General features: G+C 45.6%; 1 protein-coding gene across 1 annotated transcript in view; it reads right to left on the bottom strand.

Moving 5' to 3' along the window:
- Positions 1–20691, bottom strand: part of EPHB1 (EPH receptor B1) — a 465208-nt gene that overhangs the window by 131512 nt on the left and 313005 nt on the right. The gene's annotated exons all lie outside the window — the stretch shown is intronic.

The raw sequence follows: 20691 nt of genomic DNA, 5'->3' as shown, positions 1-20691 counted from the left end.
AGACATGCCCTGCGGTGTATCATTCCCCTGCCTCCTTGAGGGCAGGGGTGTGTCTTCTTCCTCCCACAGAGCAAGTGCCAGTGCATATTTGTGGAGGTGAACAGAATCTGGGCCACAAAAAAATGACCATTCATTATTTACTCATTCACTCATTTACTCCCGTAACTAATACTCCCGGCATTCTTTTCAGCACTTGAGAGGCAGAAAAACCAAGACAGGCAAGCTTATTCTCTTATGGAGCTTATATTCCAGTGAGAGAAAACTAATAGAATAGAAGGAAACAGAGAAATAAATGAAATTATTTTAAATAAGAATAAGTGTTATGAAAAAAAAAGCACCAGGGCTCAGATGGCCTCCTAACAATGCTGGGTTCTGTCTGTCTCTTATTCCCATGAGGCCCGCTCCAGGGCTGGCAAGCCAGGGCCTCATGTCTGGGTGGTTAAAATGATGATGGCCCCAGGTGTCTGTGCCGTAGCATCCTGATGAGATGGGCATATTCCTGCAGGTAGACTGCTCAGTCTCCCTATGGCCAAATGAAAGTCTGACCAGGGTAGATTTGGCGTCTGCATAAACCTCCCTGGAGGAAGATGCTAAGCCACTTCCCTACCCATCCAGGCATTGCCTCCTTGGCTTGGAGCCCTACTCTTGCAGGGAGTATTCATCCAGAATCTGGGACCCCAGCAACATCTCCAGGAAGGAGGCCAATTGAGACCACTAAACAAAAACATTACAAGGGGGAGCAGAGAGGGAAGCCAGAACAGAGAAAGAAAATCTGCCATCTCCTTCCGCAAAAGCCCTCAGTGAATGCAGTGGCAGGGCTCAGCACCGTGGTCTCCCCGTCTAAGCTCCATGCTCTTCCTCATTTTTCTTAATTACATACAGACAGGCTTTTTGAAGCCTCTCTGATCTGTTGCCACGGTTACTTCTGATGAATGCATTCTGTTTAAAGGGCTAAGGAAATTCAGTCCTTTTAAAGGATGGGAGAAGTGTTGAGCTGTGATTTTCTGTTTGGGTGAGGAGGGAGTGTGGTTGGTCATGAGTTTTGAAGATGGGTCTCCGATGTCCTCCAGGATGTGCCTGAGAGGTTGGCTTAGCCTGCATGGAGCACGGTTGTCACTGGAGTTAAACAGGATCCTTCTAGACCCACAGGGCCAGCCCAAGTGCTACCATATTAAGATAGAATCTCCTGCTTCTTAATGTGATTTGGGCCAGATGATTTTTTAAAGAATGGTGAGACAGGGTGTGTGGGAGAGAGCGGGTGAGTTTATTTGCAGGCATTAAGCTGGAAATAAGAGCACTCCTGAGTAATCAAAGTGAAAATCTGCTGAAGACAGGTAAGCCCCCAAAGCCAATTCCTTTATCAGGAATCTTAATAAGGCTAACCTTCTGGTCTCAGAATTTAGTAGTAAATTTCAGGCTGGTACAAGGTGCCAAGCAGGTCGGGTCTAGCTCATTGTGCATTGCTGAAGCCAGGGTCTGTGTCCTGGGATCCCTCCCCATTGGGTGATGGTGAAGGTGGCAACCACAGTGGTTGTCCACAAGGTTGGAGCTATAACTTGGGAGAAACACTCCCCTGGAAAACCCCACATTCAGGCTGGGATCATGCTCCTCTGCATCAGGCCAGAGGTGGGGCCCTCCCTACTCTGTGCATGACCACTTACAGAATCTGATAAAAGCAACAAAGCTTTTCCCCCAGAAAAGTGAACACGTGTTGCAACACATGATTTTTCAGACTCTGAGGGGGTTCTTAGTCCCCCGAAACCAACCGATGATCCTCCTAAGTGTTCACAGTAACCAAGTTAAAACATATTCTCTAGTTGGTTGACCTTGAGAAAGTGAACTTCTAAGTCTCAGTTTCCTTATCTGAAAGATGGTAGGTCAGAGAATTTAATGAGATGACATGCCTAAAGAGTTTAACTGTAGCTGGTCCACAGAGAAATTGAGTAACATCAGAGGCTAGTGGTAGTAGTAGTATTTGTATTGTCATTATTGGATTATCGGGAATCTTCACCTGCTCATGTAATTAAGACTGACCTAATTCAGCCACCCTTTCTTGAGCAGAGACCTCTCATTCAGAATTATGCTAAAGACTGTGAAAGCCGTGAGGTCATGGAACCTATGTTGGGGAAACCTGATGTAGGAGCCCATACCTAAGGAGTGCTGGAAACTGTGAACACATACAGTAAAGGATCAAAGTGGTACAGATGCAAGGTGTTACAGATGCTTGGGAAAAGACATGACCAGTGCAAATCAATAGATTCAGAGATGATCTCTGGTACCTGTCACAGAAACACCTTGGAGTCTGCCTGCCCCAATCTGCACCTTCCTGGCCACCTAGCCCCAGCAAGCACTTCTACCAAGGGGCAGAACCTTAGCCTTGAGCATGGGGCTGTGTCTCCAGAATGGGTCCAGTTCTTATTAGGTACTGGGCTTGTGACTTCTGTCTGTACCTGTATCTCTGCTTCCTGGCCTCCCTAGAGGTAGCCTGACTTTGACTTGGTATCTGGTATTCATTGTCCTCCCCTGACCTATGGGAAAGGAAACCTTTCCTTTACTCCCACAGCAAACTGTGCCCTCTTTTCTTTCTCTCTTTAGGTGAAAGAATTGCAGTGGGGTCTGGGAATAAGCCAGGAAGGACACTTGATACTCAAGACTCCTAGGTATTATCAGTCAGGAAAGCAACAAATGTAATGTTCTCCATGGCTGAGAAGATTCAAGATTGTAGTTTGGAAAAATTACTTCAATATGAAGTTCAATATTGAATATGTACTTCAATATCAACTTTAGCACTCTTCAATATAGAATAAAGGTGAAGAGGTGGTAGAGAGGGTGACCAGAAAATGATATCAGGCGTATGGATGGTGGGAGAGACTGTGGTGTGAGTGACTGGGAAAGTAGCATGGTCCAGAATTCAATTTTCAAAATAAGGATTCTACCAGAGTGTTTCTTTCTCCATTGGTTATTGTGACACAGCTACTTAAAGGAACCATGTCTGAGTGATTGGAAGGCGCCCTGGAGAAGGTAAAAGGGTCTTTGAGATGTTATGGGGAAGCAGAATTCAAGAAGCAGAAGCAGACAGGGAAATGGGGGCTGTAGAAGTTTGAAGAGGTCTTCTATGGGGGCGAAATATGCAGGGAAAAAAGTCAGGCTGGTTATTATACCTAGCCCAAAGTATGGCACACACGGCTAAAAGCAGGATGGATTGGAGGATAACATAAGCCAAAAGAGGGAAAGTTTCAACTGTCAGGGATGTAGACCATTATCAAATAAACATGAATTCAGCTTCATGTGCAGTGGTTGTTTCTTCTTGATAAATGGTTATTTGAAAACAATGCCAAAACAAAAGAAAACAACACCAAACCTTTATTCTTTCTAAGTACCATTTGTGGTTATGACACTCTCTAGCCTAAGTTCAGCTCTCTTCCTCTCCTTCTCTTGCTCCTCCTAAGTATGATAGTAATTCCTTTTCCATCATTCCCTCAACAGGAGCACATCAGACAGGAATGACCAGCATCATAGAGGAAAGGGCTGTGATATTTTGCAGCATGTTGGTTCAGGACCTTGGAGAGTGGCATAAGCCTATGTGTTCTCTGTCCCTTTCACTGAGTTCTCTGGCCAACAGTGGGGGTGCTTCTAAAGATTCTATGTCAGGCATCATAATAAGATCCCAATAACAGAGGTCAGTGGTGCAAGAGTTGCCCTGTTTTACCATAGGGGAGGGAGGTTACTGAGGCAATATGGGAAACGAGGAATAAGTTACCAGGGGCCTGTGGAAACTAGTGGCACCAAAGTGGACAGACTGGTAAGTAATTTAAAGGATGCCAAAGACATCCACCTCTCAATAGCAGAAGCTTGGAAGGGCTCAGGATCTTCAGAAAAAAACAGACCAAGCATTGTCTGCAATCTGCCGACAATGAATACCAGACATATGGGACATGGTTTTGCTCAATATGGAATAAGTGGTGTCTGAAATTCTGAGGTGTCCCTTCAAGAGAGGGAATTGTGCTGAGGGTCCAAAGCAGCAGGTGCTGGCTAGAAGGTTGGCTGATGCCTGTCTCACCGCAAGCTCAGGCATCCTTTGAGGCTCCTGTCCTCAAAGTGTAGGATATCTCACTGGGGCAAGGAGGAGAGGGCATTAAAGCTCAGGGAAATCATGTTGGTCTACTTTTTCTAACAGCCATGTGAGCACAACCTTATCAGAGAAAATTTTATACCACCTTTGAAATCAGCTTTAAATGAACCCCAGTAGCAAATTACTAAGGATGGGAGGTCACAGATCTTCAGATACAGACAGAACTGAGTTGAATTCTGGATTTTGGCATAGCCTATCTAAGCCTCAGCATATTCACTGGTAAAATCTGCATGATGATCACAGCAACCCATAGGAGTGTTGTAATGGACTACCAATTGAGCAGTGTAAGTAAAGGTTTAGAACAGTGCCAGTCACTTAGGATGGCTTCTCTATTGGCAGCTGTAATTTTTAACTCATTGTTATATGGTAATGATGAATGTGAAGACAGTGACACAGACACTGCCCTCATGGAGCTTATTCTCTAGTGAAGGAGTCAGAAAACATTTCAATACGTAGATAAATGAATAGTATCAGCAGTCATAGGGCTCTGATGATACACAGAGAAGGAGGAGGGGAGACAGCATGCTGGTGTGGTGAGGGGAGCTCTCTCAGAGCAGAGGCCATCTGGACAGAGACCTGAGTGTGATGAGACAGAAGCAATGCAAATATCTAGAGGGAGTGTTCCCCAGCCCAAAGGACCGGCATGTGCAAAGGCCCTGAGGTGGGAATGTACTTGGTTCCTTCTTTGAGGAAGATCAAGGAAGCAGCATGGTTGCCATATAACAATCAAGAAGTAGAGGGGTCATAATAAAGATTAGAAAGGTAGTGGGGGAGGCAGACTCATAAGTCCTGGTTTCAGCCTGCCAGGAATTTTACTGTAAATGAGGTGTTACTGTAAGGAGGGCTCTGAGCAGAGAAATGGCATGCTTAGACTTATGCTGCCTTGTGGAGGACAGGCTAGAAGAGGATAAAGGTGGAAGAAGGTAGACCAATCAGGAGGACACAGCAGTCATCTAGGGGAGAGGTGATGGTGGCTTGGGCCAGAATGACATCAGCAGAGGAGATGAGAAGAGGCAGATTCTGAATACTTTGTAACATCTCTGAACAGCACGAACAGTCTTTTTACAGATACTATGTCACTATTTTCTCTCAAAATTCTATGAGGCATTATTATCCCCAACTTAACAATAAGAAAACAAAGGCCCAGAGTGACAGAATGTCTTGTCTGTGGTCACACAGTCACTAGCGGAGGCATATTTGCTACATGGGTATGCATGCCCAGCACTGGTGCTGGGCATGGTGCTTGCCTTCTAGGTGACCAAAAGGGCTCCCTGTCCCATTGCCTTCCTGTGGACATGGCTCTGACTTGATGAAACTTGTTCATATCACTGCCCAAATGACCAATTTTGGGTCCTTTCCCTGGAGCAGATTTCTACTTGCCCTTGAATTGTCTTTGGAACCAAGAAAGAGAAATTGAACTTTTGGATACTAGGTGCATCTGAAAGCAGTGGAGGTCAACATGGAAATTTGAATTTTCTTTTATTGATAAATACTGTATGCAAAGTACTGTCTTAGGTATTTTGTGGATTACTTAATGTAATCTTATCTTTCCAACACTCTTTGAAGTAGGAACTATTGTCTACAGTTTAATCATGAGAAAACTCTAGCTCAGAGTATAAAGAAACTTGCCCAACTCATGCACTGGTGGAACCAAGACTTGAGTGCAGGGCTGGCAGGTTCCAAATCTCATCCTTAACAACTCTTCCACCTGGGGTAGAGGCACCTAATGCTGTACAACACAGCTGTGATGCAAAGCATTTTCTGGGGGCTGGGGAAAGATTTCACAGAGGCAGGAAAAAGCTCCTGTCCCTGAGGCATCTCAGCAGCTTCCCTGAGGAAACAGAACAACCATGATTCCAGGACTATGCTAAGCGAGTCTGCACGTGTTGCTCATTAGGGTCTTGGAAACACTGGGCCTGTACTCAGGCAATTCTCCTAATCATAACAGTTAGTAATAAGAAGAAATGATTAGTCAAAACAAGGAGGGACCCTGCTGAGAGGGATTTCAGGAGCATCAAAGAGCCTAGTGCTACACATTTTACCAAAACCAGTGTTTGTAGAAAGTACTTATTGTTTCTCCTGCTTCAATGGAGCCAATTGTCTGGAAGAAAGGAAGTAGATTATACATTCTGGGAAAAGAGACAGCCCCTCTACCTAGCCTGAGCTCAAGTCTGAGAGTCTAGGTTTCCTTGAGGCTGCAGAAGCCCTTAGAGGATGGCTGAGGCCCCTGGATCCTGGGAGGCAGTGCACCTCAGTAGGGAGGTATTTATGACTAGTCTCAGGTTACTATCCATGCGGGAGATGGATAGAAGGTTGAATCTTCTAGCTGTGGCTCAAGGTGGGGCCAAAGAGTGGAAAGGTACAATATGCTGCCACCCCTGAAAATCCCCTGGAAATGCTCCAAGTCAAGAACTATAGGTCATGTCATCTTAAAGACATGGCTTTCAAGACCCCTTTCATACCCCTGAAATGCAGCATCAAAAGCTTTCTACAGTGAGGAAAGATGCACTGGACTCAAAGAAAAAACTGGGGCTGAGTCTTAGCCTTGCCAAAGTGTGACCTTAAGCAGTCACTTATCTTCTCTCAGCCTAATCATTCATTGATCCTTGACAGATCAATCCATCTGTGTTTATTGAGACCCTCCTGTGTGCTGTGCTGTGTATGTGGGTTTATGAAAAGTTCACCGATGTCTACCCTGAGAAGCTGAAGGTCTGCAAAGGAGACAGGCACCTGCACAACAGCCACACAAACCACTGACTGACAAAGCTAGTGGAGATCTATCCCCCTGAGCCTGGAGATGGCCAGGCATTGTGCTACGGGAACTTGGAGGGAACACTGCCCTCTTTATGGGAGAATCAAATGGCATAACATAGGTTAAAGCATTCTGTGATCCTTAGTGTACTTCATATGCATAAGGGACTGCCTGATATAGTTATCTGGGAGTCCCTTTCCATCTATTCACTTTCTAGAAGGGAAACAGGGACCAAGTGCACACCTGTACAATTAAAAAAAAAAAAAGACTTTGTGCAGAACACTTGACCTGAAGGCCCTGTGAAGCAGGAAAAACATCTCCTTGCCTAGGGCCCCTGAGACCCCAAGCAGACCTCCTGTATAGGTTCTCCCAGGCCTTTAGGTAGGGTCCTTGTGCCAAGCCCTGCTCACAGCACCTCTGATCTAGTGTCTCAGAGGAAGAATCCCCAGAGCACTTCCTGCTGAAAGATCACCATACCAGGCCACATCCTGCCAGGACAGGCTCCAAGGCATTTGCTGTCACTGGAGGCAACAGTCCAAGCAAGCCGGTTAGAGTCTTCTTGAAGTGAAAAGACATTGACACACACTTCAGTCTTTGGCACAACAGAGGAATAGGTCTTACAGGACAGAACTTCTACAGAGTTCCTTGTTCTGGACATTATTTCTAATTGATGCACTCAGGCCCTGAACCACCCAAAACTACTCGTTTGATTTAGCATATCCTGATACAGCCCAGAGCTCAGTAATTCTCTCCATGCAGATGCAAGTGTGGAGATTCAGATCTGGATAGGAATTTGCTTTGCATCTGGAGATCTGGTTGGTAGCCACTGGGCCAAAGTCCATCAGGCATGGAGGTCACATACGATGAAAGCCTTGCAGGTAAAGGATCTCAGCTCCTCGCAAGCCACTCTCAGGAGTGCAGAACCTGGCTAGTTCCACACAACACATACTCTGCTGAACTTTTGGATACTAGGCACTGATGAGGGAAGGGTATGGGACTTCTAAGGTGTTTCTTTTACAAGAAGACAACCACCTGGACCAGACTGGAGGAGTCCCTGCTGCATGCAGATAGGATGGAACCTCTGGGCTACTGTATGGTCAGAAGTCCTATCTCTCCACCATTCCTGAGAGATGGGGATGCCCGGGGAGGAGTCCTGCATCTCCACAGTCCATCAAAAATGATTAAGAGCCCCCTTCCTAGATGACACAATTTTTTCTAGTTGTCATAATTTTCCATCTTTTTCTAGAGACCGCAGATCAGACTGGCATCAAGATAACAGCTGGGAAGTGACTGTGGGTTAAATATTCATGGATAACTTCCAGGCACTGGCTTACGCAGCTGTAAAAGAGACATGTGCTGCCTCTCTCCAGGTATCCAGAAAAGGCCCTCGTTCCTAAGACAACAATTCAAGGTCAAGAGAACAAAAAAGAAATTGAAAAAGGTAAGTATACTTTCCAGGGTGTTATAGGTCACCCAAGAGAAAGTCCTGATTTTGACATTTCATAGACACAGTAATTCACGGCATGCAATGAAACCTTGGTGGTCAGTGTATCTCTGGTGACAAACACCCTCTACAGTCCCTCCCTGTTGGCCAGCCTCTGTTAGATGTCCACTAACACAAGATGCCCAGCAGAAGAAAGCTCACTATTCCCACCACTACACTGTCATCTGTTAATAATCATAACCTGTTTGAAAATATAATAAAAAATTATTTATTCACAATAGCCACAAAACCATAAAATACCTAGGATTAAATCTCACAAGACCTCTGTGAAGATGACTACAAAACTTTACCGAAGAACGTAAAAGAAGACTTGAATACCTCATGCCTGGATGGAATAAAGAATATCATAAAGAAGAGAATCATCCCCAAAGTAATCTATATATCCAATGCAATTCCAACCCTGATTAAACAGGATTGTTTAATGACATTTGTCAAGCTGGTTGTAAGATTCATCTTGAAGAAAACAACGTTTAAGAATGGGATAGCTATTTTTGAGAATGAATAATATACAGAGACTTAGTTCACCAGTCATTGAGACATATCAGAAAGCTACCATCTTTAGAACAGTTTAGAACTGGTGCCAGAACAGACAGAACCACCAATTAGAAAGAATAAAGACAAACATACACAAACAGTTAGTATATAATAAAAGAAACATCTCACCAAAATGTGGACAATTCAGGTGGAGCTCATGGGATGTTATTTTTAATAAGATAAAAAAGAATACTGATATCACATCCTATGCAAAATAAAGTTCCAGATGGAAGAAGGAACTAAACATAAACACCATACAGAGAATTAAAAGAAAGTATAAAAGCCCAGTCTTGGTGGCTCACGCCTGTAACTACAGCACTTTGGGAGGCCAAGACAGGGGGATCACTTGAGTCTAGGAGTTTGAGACCGGTCTGGCCAACATGGCAAAACCCCACCTCTACTAAAAATACAAAAATTAGCCAGGCATGGTGATGCGTACCTGTAGCCCAGCTACTCAGGAGGCTGAGGTGGGAGAATTGCTTGAACCCGGGAGGTGGAGGTTGCAGTGAACCTAGATTGCCCCACTGCACCCCAGCCTGGGCAACACAGCGAGACTCTGACTCAAGAAAACAAAAAAAAGAAAGAAAAAGAAAATGAAAGAAAGTATAAGAGAGTGTTTTCATGCCTTAGAGTGGGAAGGACATATATAAAATGTAGTCAAAAGCTCAAGACACCAATCTCCAAACCAGAAAGAAAAAGATGGTCAGATTTGAGTTCAAAAATTTAAAACCTCAATATGACAAAACAAGTATCCACAGAGTTAAAAATAAATGGAGGGCTGGAGGGCAGGGTGTCACATATAATTAATTGTCATCTAGAAATCAATTTTTAAATATAGAAAAAGGCAAGGGTTATAAACAGACAATTCCCAGAAGACTAAATTGGTCAATAAACATATAAAAAATACACACTCATTTATAATCAGAGAAATACTAATCAAAATGACTAGGAGGTCAGCCAACTTGGCAAAAAATAAAAGTCTTGATAGCATCATCAGGCCAGTGTGTGGAGAAGCCTGATGCACACTGCTGTGAAGAGTGTACACTGGCCAAGGCCTCTGGGAAACACTTTGTAATATTGATTGGTTCTAAGTGCATGCACCCCGTAGCCCAGCAATTCTATTTCTAGGTGAATTTCCTCCACAAATATAGGGATATGCATTTTTGTGGCAGTATTATTGTTTATATTAATGAAACACTGAATGGGCCCAAACACTCACCCATGGGGAACTGTATACTCGGTAGGGGTTGCTAGGGCCTCCCTGTGCAATTCTGTTCTCTTCTCAAGTCTCACAGAAGACACCTTTCCCAGCCGCCTTGCATGGAGAGCACATAACTAGTTCTAATCAACAAAATGTGATCCTTCCCCATCTTAGCTGGGATTCTACCATTAATTTTGTGCCAGGTCACATCAGAGGCAATAGTCCTCCTCCTTCCCGAGGGAAGTAGACTAGCACTGAGGGTGAAGAGCTGGAGACCTGAACCTTGTCAGGCGTAGAAGGAAATACGGGCTTTGCTGCTCAATAAGGTGGAAACTCGGGCAAGTCATTTAGCCCTTCTGGGCCTCAAATCCTTCATCTATAAATTGGAACCAGTTGTAATACCTGTCTTATAATCTCTGAGGTTAACTGAGAAAAACCATGTCAGAGGCTTAGCACAGGGCCTAAACTGTAGCAACACTTTAATAAATGCCAGTTATTAGTGTTAGAGGTATGCACATGTGTTCTTATTCCAATCAGCTATCACTGAGTAGTGGAGCACCATGGCACACAGCATGGTAATGGTGTATGGTCTCTGTCTCCGAAGACTTGGTGCTTCACAACCTGACCTGTGCAGACGGGTGTGGGTATGGGCACGGCTGACCTCATGGAGCCTCATGCAGACCCTGTCCCCGGGTGTGGGCGCAAAGCCTGCCTTTCACTTACAGGGAGAGCCAATTCTTACCTGGTGCTCAGTTCCCCTTTGCTGACCAGTAGATGACAATCTCTTTGTGAGAACTGAGTGGCTTTCCATTATTGCTCATGGAGTACTGGCAGGGCATGGCAGTGACCATGGGTTCCCACTGACCATTGCCCCCCACCCCACCCCAGCCCTCACCTTCTGGGCACCTCTGCCCCAGAAGAGACAGCCTGCACCTGGCTTCATCTCACTACACAGCTGCCATGCAAGTTCACTCCAACCTGCACAACTGAGCACCCTTCATTGCCATTTCCAAGGTAAGCCTGGAAAGGCAAACCTCTGAGGTGACTCAGAGGAGTTGCTTAAAAGGCCACCTTGGGCATCTCCTGCAAGTCTAAGACACAGCCAAGGAGGGGCCAGCACACCATTCCTATTAGTACCATTGCCACAACCTACTAGTCTCCAGAATGGGAAGGGGGGACAGATTGACCTTAGTGTTCAACTAGCCTCTAGTTCTCTATCCTTCAGCCTCTTGAAGACAAGCCACCCTTCTTGATGTGGCTTCAGAGCCAGAACACTTTTTATTTAATGGGGTGGAGGTAGTCTCTGGCACAGGGTAGAGGGAATCATAAGCCTTCTATAGGTTGACTTCAGACTGCAGACTGCTCTGTGTCTTCAAAATCATCAGTGATTATTTATACATTGGAAAGTCCAGATTTTAAGCCCACAGCCAATCCCATATCATAGCAGTTCTCAGGTGTCTGGCTCAGACTTGGAATTTTCCAGCCAATTGTGGGGAAAGCTTCTCAGAAAAAGCAAACACACAGTTTCAAAATAAATCACTACAAAATGCTGGCTTTCACATACTATGGCACACATAATCCAGAAAGCATGGACTTGCTCATACTGACTATAAGACTCATTCCTGTCCACTTTACCTAACTTCATACATTATTCAGAAACCCTCTTGGCAGGCATCACCAGAACCTTTTTGTACACTTCCAGTTATGGAGAGATCCCTAGCCAGGCAGCCTCTGCTCTTTGTGGATATCACTCAGAATCTACCTTTATGCCAAGTGGAAAGTGGCTTCCCTCTAAATACCTGATCAGAGTCAAAGACACTGGGATCCCTGGTCTTTGTCACACCCAAGTGAAGCCATCAGTGATGTGTGTGGGTCTGGCTTTAGCATCCATGCGACATCCACATGTATTACCAAACCAGGGAATCTGGAAAGTCATGGTCCTGGTTTGGGAAAGGTTGGCTGGTACCAGATTTCCAATATGGCAGCTGGAGACTTGGAGAATGAAGGAGAGTATAGGTAGTCTCCAAGACATGTCAGGAAATATACTGGTCCTTGGAGAGGGTAGAAGGCTGCAAGCTCAGATGTAGGGACAGACTTTGAGAAGCATACTGACGAAAGGTGGGTGTACAGACAGGGGCCCACCAGTGCAATGGGATTCAGGGTAGATTCTGAACCTGGCTTTGGGACAATGTCAGTGGTCATCAACAGAGGGTCCAGTGGATCAATACAGGTTCCAGGACTGACTGGCAGTGGTGACTCTGAAAAGTGACCACCACGAGGCACTGGCAAGAGGTCTAGGAGTGAGACACAGCTCAGATCCCACTGTGAAATTTGGGCTTGGTCTCTGGCCAAATGAAATCAGGATCTGGTGCCATTATCATGGATGGAAGAGGGAAGACAAAGGGGACCAAAAGGCCATCTGGGGACCACCTGTGAGAAGCTAGGGACCAAGATGGTAGCACAGGTTGTACACAGATTTGTAATCACATTGTGATGGGGTAGAGACAGGGGAGTGATGGGGTCAGAATTTAGCTAACCTAGGATGGCTCTCCAGGAGAATTTGATCTAAAAGCCTTTGCACTTATACTTTTAATGTTTTTTTGTTTTTGTTTTTGTTTTGAGACAGAGTCTCGCTCTGTTGCCCAGGTTGGAGTGCAGTGGCACGATCTCGGCTCAATGTAACCTTTGCCTCCTGGGTTCAAGCGATTATCCTGCCTCAGCCTCCTGAGTAGCTGGGACTACAGGTGTGTGCCACCATGCCTGGCTAATTTTTCTATTTTTAGTAGAGACGGGGTTTCACCATGTTGGCCAGGATGGTCTCAATCTCTTGACCTCGTGATCCACCCGCCTCGGCCTCCCAAAGTCCTGGGATTACAGGCGTGAGCCACTGCGCCTGGCCATGTTTTCTTATTTTTAATTGCATATCTTAGAGACTCAAAACCCACTTCTTAAACATGATTCATAAAAACCCAAACAAAGACAACAATTTATTGAGCACTGTGCATGTGTCTAACACTGAGTTAGGCATTTTACATACAATTCACAATGGACACAATAATAAACAATATCCTCATTCTGGGGGACATAAAAATAGAGATTCAGATAAGTTAGGCGACCTACCCAAGGCCACACTGTGAGGAAGGAGTGGAGCTGAGAGTCAACCCTGGTTTACCTGATTCCACAGTAGGGCTCTTACCACTTGACTGCATCGGACACACCTGCTCTGTAAGGTCATGAAGCAGATTTAAAAGAAAAAAAAAATCAAATCAGCACGTCAAAGAGCTTCCAGTCCAGTGAACAGGCATGATTCTGGTACCAGAATAGCTCTGAATAGCTGAGAATGCTCAGGGTGCGCAAAGCAAGGCCTCCTCCTGCCTGGGGGAGGAGGTGAGAGGCTGGCAGAGGACAGAGGACGCACAGCCACTCACTCCTGACTGCCTTCGCCTTAGAGGTGAACAATTGGAGCAGAGAATATTGAAGAAGCTGAGCTGTGGCAACAATTAAGTTCCGGCATCCATTCCAGGCCAGTTCTGCCTTGGACCAGAACCTATAAATTTGACACCAAGACAATTGCCTGAGACCACAAAGGAGCATTCCTGGCAAGAGGGGACCCTAAAGTCATGGAGAGGACAGCTTTGTTCTGAGTTTTAAAATAGAGAAGGGAGTAGATTACATGGATGCACTTCACGTTAATCCCCTCCTTCTGGAACTTCACAAGTAAATCAGTGCTTTGTGAGCCTCAAGGAAGGACCGACAAGAACTTGTGTGTGTTCTCTATGTGTAAGTCAGGCCAGTCAACATTCTTTCTTTCTCTAAAAATTTATTAGCCTGTGAAGAAAAAGAGTATAGAGTATAGAGTAAACCTAGATTTCCACAAGAGTAACTTCTAAAAGTATACAAATACTTGTATATTGAAGGAAGAAATGTTAACTAAATAATAGTGCCTGTGCTTGGATTTTAGCTGCTTTGAAAATTACATCAAAGTAGGGTAGACAACTCTGATAATAGTAATAAAATCAAATAGCTTACTTTTATTGAATTATTCCTGTATGCCAAATATTGTTTTATTTATTTATTTATTTATTTATTTATTTATTTATTTATCTATCTGAGACAGAGTCTTGCTCTATCATCCAGGCTGGAGTGCAGTGACACGATCTTGGCTCACTGCAACCTCTGCCTCCCAGGTTCAAGCAATTCTTCTGCCTCAGCCTCCGAGTAGCTGGGACTACAGGAACATGCCACCACGCCCGGCTAATTTTTGTATTTTTTTTTTTTTTTTTTTTTTTTTTTTTAGTAGAGACAGGGTTTCACCATATTGGCCAGGCTGGTCTCGAACTCCTGACCTCATGATTTGCCTGCCTTGGCCTCCCAAAGTGCTGGGATTACAGGTGTGAGCCACTGTGCCCAACCTAAATAGTATATTGCATTTAATTCCCACAACAGTGCAGTGAGGCAGATTCCAATATTATCCCCATTTTATGGAATAGGAAATGAAGACAGAAAAGCTTTGTCACTTGCCCCACATCACTGTTCAGTAGTAGAGCAGGACTTGAACCTGGGCACAGGCTCCAGAGCCCACACTCTTAGCAATTATACTAACACTGCTTATTTGAAAGATGATAAAAATCAGTATTTAAAATGATCTGTACGTGAAAGTGCACTGTGCCTAAATCCACAAGGTAAAATGTCTGAAATCGTACTGATAAGTGCACATAGGGGAGACCCAAACAGACAGCATTTCCTGAGGGGACAAACAAAAGCACTGGCTGTTTAGTGGCTGCCACATGTGGTGGGAGCTCACAGTTTCAGTGACTGCAACCAAAGTGAACACAAGGTTGCAATATCCCAATCACAAGGAAAATCCATGACTTTTCTACTGAACCTTGCTCTGGAGTGAGGATCACAAGTCTCATTCTGGCTGCTATATTTTAAGAGCCTTATCGATAAATGTGAGAGATTCAGAAAAGGCCAGCCAGGAGCCTGGACAAATGGCAGAGGGGCAGGGGCATGGGTCAGGAGATTTGGGGAACAGTTAAAGCAACAAGTGTTTAGCCTCAAGGAGATAATTTTAAAAAGATGGGAACATTGTCCTTAAGCATTAAAATCACTGGCCTGCTGAGCATTGGTCCTTAAGGACCGACCAATGGCCAGGAGTGAGGAAGGAGTGCCTAATCTGAAGTCCAGAAGGCCTCTCCCCCAGCGATGGGTTACTGCTGTTGGCAATGGAGTGACGCTGCCCTGCACAAGACACGAGCTGTCATGACAAATGCTCAGAACAATAAAAGTGGCATGACCGCCTCTGCCTCTCGGGGTTACTGGAGGGAGAAGGCTAACATTGGGAGGATTTGGGGTGGCAGTGCTCAGAGTGTCAACAATCTGTGACTCCAAATGCTCTTGTGAAATTCTGAAACAAACATGTTAGCTTGTGTGCCTGGCTTTTAGCTTAAAACTTAGAGCTATACAATTCCTCAAAAAGGTTATACTCACTTGGGTCAAACAACTATGAAAAGAAATTGTAGATTACAGAAGTGTGAAAGCACATTTACACAGGCAACGCTGACCCTTCCTGATGTGGCAGTGACAGTTATAGATAGCTTCCAGCTTGCAGTCACACTCCTTTCTTTTGCATCCAGATGTATAGACCATCTACCAGCATGGGGCGGGGGCCAGCATGGGGCGGGGACCCAAATCTAGGCCTGCCCTCTGACTCTTATTGATCTTTGACCTTTGTCTGAAGTTCACCTCAAGGAGAACACAGACTACCTCCCCTTCAAAAACACAAATGTATTTTTTAACGGGCAACATGGATTACATATCGGGGTAATATCAGTCTCTTTACCTATCAAATAGAACACACAGGGTGACTTACACTAAAGCCCTGGTCAGCGATGGGTAAAGCTCAGCTGGAGCAAAGCAGCCTTCTTTTACCATTTTGCAAGCCCTAGATTAACCCAAGTAAACACTTGTCAAAAGGTCGACTTTTGAAAACTGTTTAAAATTCACAATAGCAAAGACTTGGAACCAACCCAAATGTCCATCAATGATAGACTGGATTAAGAAAATGTGGCACATATACACCATGGAATACTATGCAGCCATAAAAAATGATGAGTTCATGTCCTTTGTAGGGACATGGATGAAACTGGAAACCATCATTCTCAGCAAACTATCACAAGGACAAAAAACCAAACACCGCATGTCCTCACTCAGAGGTCGGAATTGAACAGTGAGAACACATGGACACAGGAAGGGGAATATCACACACTGGGGACTGTTGTGGGGTGGGGGGAGGGGGGAGGGATAGCATTAGGAGATATACCTAATGCTAAATGACAAGTTAATGGGTGCAGCAGACCAACATGGCACATGTATATGTAACAAACCTGCACGTTGTGCACATGTACCCTAAAACTTAAAGTATAATAATAATAAAATTAAAAAAAAATCACCCTCATTGTGTAGACATGCAGACAAGCAAGCAGTCCCCAATTTACAACACTAGATTCCTGTCTCATGTGGAATGCTTATTGCCCTATTGGCCTGAAGAGCTCCTCCCTGCAGCAGCAGCCTCAGAGTTTTCCTCTTGGTCTGATTTCCTCCTAGGTGAGCTGGGGCCCATCACCCATTTACACTGGCTACCCTCTGGATCCTCTATCTGAATTCAGGCAAATGGTGCCCATCAGTCACTTTCCTTCTGTTTCAGTTTCTCCTTCAGCCCCCGCTGAGCTCACTCCAGCCACGTTGTGCTTCCTGGTTTCCATTCGCTTCTCTCCCTGGTCACTGCTCCCAGCCCCAGCTAACGATGTCCTTTGCAGGTCTTCACACTGCTCTGACCACTCAAGAGTGAAAATGGGCTGGGCGCGGTGGCTCACGCCTATAATCCCAGCACTTTGGGAGGCTGAGGCGGGCAGATCACAAGGTCAGGAGTTCGAGACCAGCCTGACCAACATGGTGAAACCCCATCTCTACTAAAAATACAAAAATTAGCCGGGTCTGGTGGCGAGCACCTGTAATCCCAGCTACTCGGGAGGCTGAGGCAGGAGAATCGCTTGAACCTGGGAGGTGGAGGTTGCAGCGAGCTGAGATCACGCCACTGCAGTCCAGCCTGGGTGACAGAGTGAGACTCCATCTCAAAAAAAAAGAGTGAAAATGAAATAGAAATTGAGCCAGAACAGGTGGGGATTATTCTGAGAAGTAGTGAGACCCTCCCTTGAACCACTCAAATAAACACAGATGCGCTCGTACATTCACACTCACATCAGACCCCACCCCTCCTCTCTCTCACATACATATTCACAGCCCCCCTCCCTGCAGCTTTCTAGCCTGGCACACAGGACATTGATGGGGAGGGGAAGGCCCTGTGGTTCCAGTCTGTGAGAATTCACCCAATGGCCTTTCTCCTCAGAAGTCATAAAGCAAAGGACAGAGGAATATGACCCAACTCTAAAGCAATGTTTCCAAACTTTCACAGCCTTCAGAGTTACTTGCAGGGCTTGTTAAAACTCTGATCACTGGGCTCCACCTCCAGAGCTTCTCATTCAGTGGCTCCGGGTTGGGGCTGAGAATTTTTAATTTTAGTAAGTTCCTAGGTGACACGGAGGCTGCTTGTCCAGGGACTGCATTTTAAAACCACTGACCTAAAGGAAACCATCAGTGGGGATCTTATTGAGCATGATGCAGCAGATCCTGTGCCCAAGACCAGAGGGCTTATAAGCTCATGTCCTTACAGACCCACAATGCTCTATGGCCACCAAACCTGGCTGCAGAGGCCACCTGCAGAGGACGTCATTCTGTTTCTGTCATACCAAAGCCATTTCTACCCTCTAAACCCTATGCACTCTTCTCCATCCACCCTGCTTCCCTGGGAAGATCAGGGTCTAGGCCCTGGGAATGTCCCACTCCTGGGCAGTCTGTCCAAGGGACATGATCCTTATGCCACAGGGACACCACCCCCCCACCCCACCACTGCCCTGTCGTGCCTGGGATAAAAGAGGGAAACAACTGCCAGCACCTTAAAAGATGAAACATGAACTTAAAGGAGAGAAACCAGACTATGCAGGAATGGGAGAAGGAAGAGCAGATTCTTATCCTTCTCTAAGCAAGGTAGATTCATGAGTGAGAATAACAGCCAATCACCATCATCGCCACGATGGTTTGCAACATCACTGAGGTCATGGAATTAGAGTCAGACAGACCTGAGTTTTCATCCTGGAGCTTCATTTGCTTGCTGGCTTTTAATTCTCACAACCTCGTAATTTGAGTTCCAGCATACCCAATTTTATCCAGAAGGAAGCTCGTGTTCCAAAAGGCTAAGTAACTTGCCCCAGGTCTTACCGTCAGGAGCCAAACTCAAAACCCCTGCCCCTGCCACTAAGCTTCCCTGCCTCTCAGTGGCAGTCAGGAGGGAGGACAGGGATGGCCTCCAGGGAAACCCCGAAAGACTGGCAGGCACTGTGTCCCTCATCTAAGGGGTCGGCTGGTGGGCTCAAGGGACACAATGACCCCTTTTTCATTCCATTTCTATGATCAAAACTGCAGAGGGAAGCCCATTGCATTTGAAGAAGAAATAAAAGAAACAAGGCAAGCACTAGCTTGCCTCTGTGATCCATCAAAATTTCTTCCATGTGAGTGACAGAAAAGGGGTTTTTGTGGTCAGCAATGTAACAAGGTAATTATTTTCACACCAGTCCTTCTGTATAGTTTTTCACAGGCAGCAATTTTATAAGGCATAATTATCTGTTTTCACCTGCTTCATAAATTCCTCCTTTCCATTTCGTCCCCCAGTAAACTAGAAATTATTTAAAACAGAAGCCAAGCCCTGCAACATGGTGCGGGGTTTCACATTGCTGTTCACCTCCGAGTGTGTTCCTGGCTGTCCCTCTGCCCGGCTGACCCCACCATGTCTCCCTTGCCATCTGGCCCTCCTGTGGAAGGAAGTGTGTCTCAGTGTGAGGAGCTGCTAGGCCGCTGCTGCCTGGGAATTGAAAGCCAGTATTGTGAGCCATTGCTCCTGCCCAGCTTCTTGGCACCTCTCATCCAGGGACAGCGAGCTCGGCAGCTTCTCAGAAGCTCTGCCTGTGCCTCCTTCCTTCTCCCACTGCACACCAGGTCGCAGGGTAGGGCAGTCACCTTCTCATTTGTTTTCAGCAGGTTCTTTAGGCCAAGGCGACTGTGTGGTTTGGGACCATATCATGGATTCTGCTGTGATGCTCGGTGATGGCGTCAAGCCTGGGCTCCCCCAACAACATCACTTTTATTTTCAGATATCCAACATCCTCTCATGCTGGAAGCTTCAATATCTGCTGCAATCTTCACACTTTCCAGGGATGTAACCAAAGCAAGTTCTAACATCGATTGAGAGTTTACTATGAACCAGGCACTGTGCCAAGGACTCTACAATACTATTTGGCTGAATCCTCATAATAACTCAGAAAAGCATACATTATTATGAAGTCGTGAGAATAAAATGACAGAATGTAAGAAAGCTTAGACCAAGGATTTAGACCAAGGTCACAGAGAAGGCAAGAGACAGAATCAAGTTTGAAACTTTTGTCTCTGAAGTGCCAAAGCCCATCTTCCACCCACTAAATGAAATCAATGATTCTATGAGCTTTCCCAGAACCCACTCAAGACTGAGGCAGTTTGGGGATGCCAGGATTCACCAGGTAAACTGAGGGCTTCTGGGCAGTGCCTCAGGGAGCACTACAGGGAGGAAGGCAGCGGCTTTTTCAGCAGAAGCACAGCAAGCCCAAAGCTCAGAGCTGGTTCCTCAGTCCATAACCTTCGCAACCCCTCCCTGCTGGTGGGGCTGCACCTTCCCCTTGTTCCCTCCCATTGTCTTTTCATATGACCCCCTCCCCTTACTGTCAGTAGCCCTTCAGTAACTCCTCACTGAAGGTGATTCCCACTGTCCTGGTAGTCTGTCTTTATTCAGGGAGTTTCGTGAGCAGGGAGTGGTGAGGAGTCACTTGTCACCTGCCTCTAGCTATCCCCTAAGCTCCCACCTCATTCCATACCTGGCCTAGGTTTGAGGGAAGAGGCATCTTCTTGGATATGAGCAAGTACTGGGAAGATCTAGAGCTGCAGGCCTGGGTAGAAGTGAAGGGGGGAGAGAAAAGAAGGAAGAAGGGAGCTAGTCGTCCAGAGACCAGCAGCAGTGATGTGACTGCAGACTCAAAACACAGAGCTCTCTAAGCCACCCTCCTCTGACTTCATTTGGAGACCACACCAGCCCCTTTGACACCTTGAGGTGCACCTGCATCCCTGTGCAGTCCACTGACAAAATTCAAGGACAAGGCTGGACACACAGAGGCATCTCAGAGGTCAAGGGTGGAGGGGTCCCTGGGTCTCCCAGTAGATTAAAAATAAAAGAAACAAATGCCTAAACAGGGCTGCAAAAGGTAACATGCATTGCAAATGTTTACATGAAATAAATTAACACTTGTAGCACTACAAAAATACAATGACTACATGTGTGCCAGCCCCAAGAGATTAACAGGATTCATTAAAAATATTAATTCTTAGTGCACTATATGTTTTATAGCCTTGTCAAATGACACATTTTA

Source organism: Homo sapiens, chromosome 3, assembly GCF_000001405.40.
Source record: "Homo sapiens chromosome 3, GRCh38.p14 Primary Assembly".
NCBI classification, from domain to species: domain Eukaryota; kingdom Metazoa; phylum Chordata; class Mammalia; order Primates; family Hominidae; genus Homo; species Homo sapiens.
This window is presented reverse-complemented; position numbering and strand designations above follow the sequence as displayed.